Source organism: Homo sapiens, chromosome 7, assembly GCF_000001405.40.
Source record: "Homo sapiens chromosome 7, GRCh38.p14 Primary Assembly".
NCBI lineage: Eukaryota > Metazoa > Chordata > Mammalia > Primates > Hominidae > Homo > Homo sapiens.
Window position 1 is genome coordinate 148,469,109 of NC_000007.14, and position 2,764 is coordinate 148,471,872.

Below are 2,764 nucleotides of genomic sequence, written 5' to 3' on the forward strand. Positions count from 1 at the left end.
ATTCGCCCATTTCATCCTCCCAAAGTGCTGGGATTACAGGTGTGAGCCACCATGCCTGGCACTTCCCCCTTTAATAAGGACATCAGTTATGTCAGACGAGGTCCCACTCTCATGACTTCATCTTCATCAATTACATCTGTAACAACTCTATTTCCAAATAAGGTCATGTTGGAGGTACTGGGAGTTAGGACTTCAACATATGAATTGGGAGGGGGCGGGGCACACAATTTAACCCATAGCCCTCTCCTGCTTCAAAGCCTGTATGAATATGTAAACTCACATTTTAGAAGTGCATTTTTGGCCGGGTGCGGTGGCCCACACGTGTAATCTCAGCACTTTGGGAGGCTGATGCAGATGGATCATGAGGTCAGGAGATCAAGACCATCCTGGCTAACACGGTGAAACCTTGTCTTTACTAAAAATACAAAAAATTAGCCGGGTGTGGTGGCAGTCGCCTGTAGTCCCAGCTACTCCGGAGGCTGAGGCAGGAGAATGGCGTGAACCCGGGGAGCAGAGCTTGCAGTGAGCCGAGATGGCGCCACTGCACTCCAGCCTGGGCGACAGAGCGAGACTCTGTCTCAAAAAAAAAAAAAAAGTGCATTTTTATTTTGAATTAGTATAAGACTCACAAGAAGTTGCAAAAATAGTGCCAGGAGGTCTCACACACCCTTCACCCAAAGATTGCTTATGTAACGCTAGTTAGTACATTGTAGAAAGCAGGAAATTGATATTGGTATGATGCTGTTAACTCTGGAACAGATCTTACTGATCAACTTTTACATACAAATTTTCAAATCTGTTTTTTAAGTCCAACAATAATAAGAAAAAATAATAACTACATGTTTTAAAAGATACAAAATGAGAATAGTACCAGTAAAACATGATTTCTTAATGTAAAATATCAAAATATAATGTACTTGGTTTCAAGAGCAGCAAATTCTGGCATTTGAACTACAGTACTTGATTTGGGTTTATAAAATGTTAGCAGGCTATTGAGGCAGAGGTCCAGAAGATGAAATATTTTCCTATTATTTCACTGGATCAATAAACTCTGCTTTGTGTTCAAAGCCTCTCAGCTCAGTGCTTTGCAACGGTTCACTTTCATTTCTCCTCCATTTCCCCTCCAGAAACCAAGGTCATCTCCCTCCACCATTCGGTCTTAGCAGCTAAGCCCTAATCCTCACAATTATTAGAGGAATTGTTCTTAGGTCACTATTCTGTTTCTACTAACTTTTTGGAAAATGCAAGATGTAGTGTATTGGGGAGGGGCAACCACAAAATTCCTGAAATGGGCCTGGCGCGGTGGCTCACGCCTGTAATCCCAGCACTTTGCAAGGCCGAGGCAGGCGGATCACGAGGTCAGGAGATTGAGACCGTGCTGGCTAACACGGTGAAACCCCATCTCTACTAAAAATACAAAAAATTAGCCGGGTGTGGTGGCGGGCACCTGTAGTCCCAGCTACTCGGGAGGCTGAAGCAGGAGAATGGCGTGAACCCATGAGGCAGAGGTTGCAGTGAGCAGAGATCACGCCACTACACTCCAGCCTGGGCGACAGAGCAAGACTCTGTCTCAAAAAAAAAAAAAAAAATTCCTGAAATGAATTTAGATCTGAAATTCCAAATTCTCCCATGAGAAGAGTGGGGATTTGAGATTTCTAAGGTATAGATTTTACAAGTTACTCCTTCCCAAAGAACCCATGCCCACCAAGACCATGATGAGGTGAAGAGAATCCTGAAGTTACACCAAGGGAAAGGAAGTCCCCCACAGCAAGAGAGGCCAGGCAACTGGAAGGCAAGAAAGATGAGGAATGAAGCAAACCTCAGAAGGCACATTTGGATAAAAAACTGACAGAATATGCCCTTCCCACTCTAGATTAGGTGAGAGGGCAAGGTTGAGTGAGTGGGCATTGGAATGGCTAAAGATGGGCAGGGGAGGGTTGTAGGAAGAGGACACGTTCATGTCTTCCACAGACCTGGCTCAAGGTTAATTATAATACCTTTGCAAAGTTGAACCTGACCTTCCTGTACCCACCTAGAGCTCCCACTCCAAGTAACCACTTAGCCATTCCTGTTCCTGGGAGGATTTACAGGGAAAATTGTGATTGGGTCTCATCACCATCAATGGCATCCCATTTTGTTATTATGTTTTAAATCATCAATTTGTGCCAATATTGATAGAATTAGTGAGACAGTAAGTACCCTACCTGTCGGGGAGAAAGCAATACTTACCTTGACAACCTGAGGAGGCCGCACTGGGTATGTATGGTACAGATGCTAACTGAACTTTAAAGGGGTCAGTACATTCAGTGAATATATATTGAGCCTGTGCGGCATGTCAGGCTCTCCTTTAGGCTTTGGACATACAGCAGTGAAAAAGACAAACCATTTTTTGACCTTGTGGAACTTATCATCTAAGGGGAGCAAACAAATAACAAATACCTAAATGTATAATGTAACGCCAGAAGTAATGTGTGTCATAAAAAAGAAAGCAGTGTAAAGAGAAAAAGAAAAGCCAGGCACAGTGGTGCACGCCTGTAATCCCAGCACTTTGGAGGGCCAAGGTGGGCAGATCGCTTGAGCTCAGGAGTTCAAGACCAGGCTGGGTAACATGGCAGAATCCCATCACTACAAAAAACAGCTGGGCAGTACAAAAATTAGCCAGGCATGGTGGTGAGCACCTGAAGTCCCAGCTACTTGGGAGGCTGAAGTGGGTGGATCACGTGGGCCTGGGAGGTGGAGGTGGCAGTGAGCCAAGATCATGCCA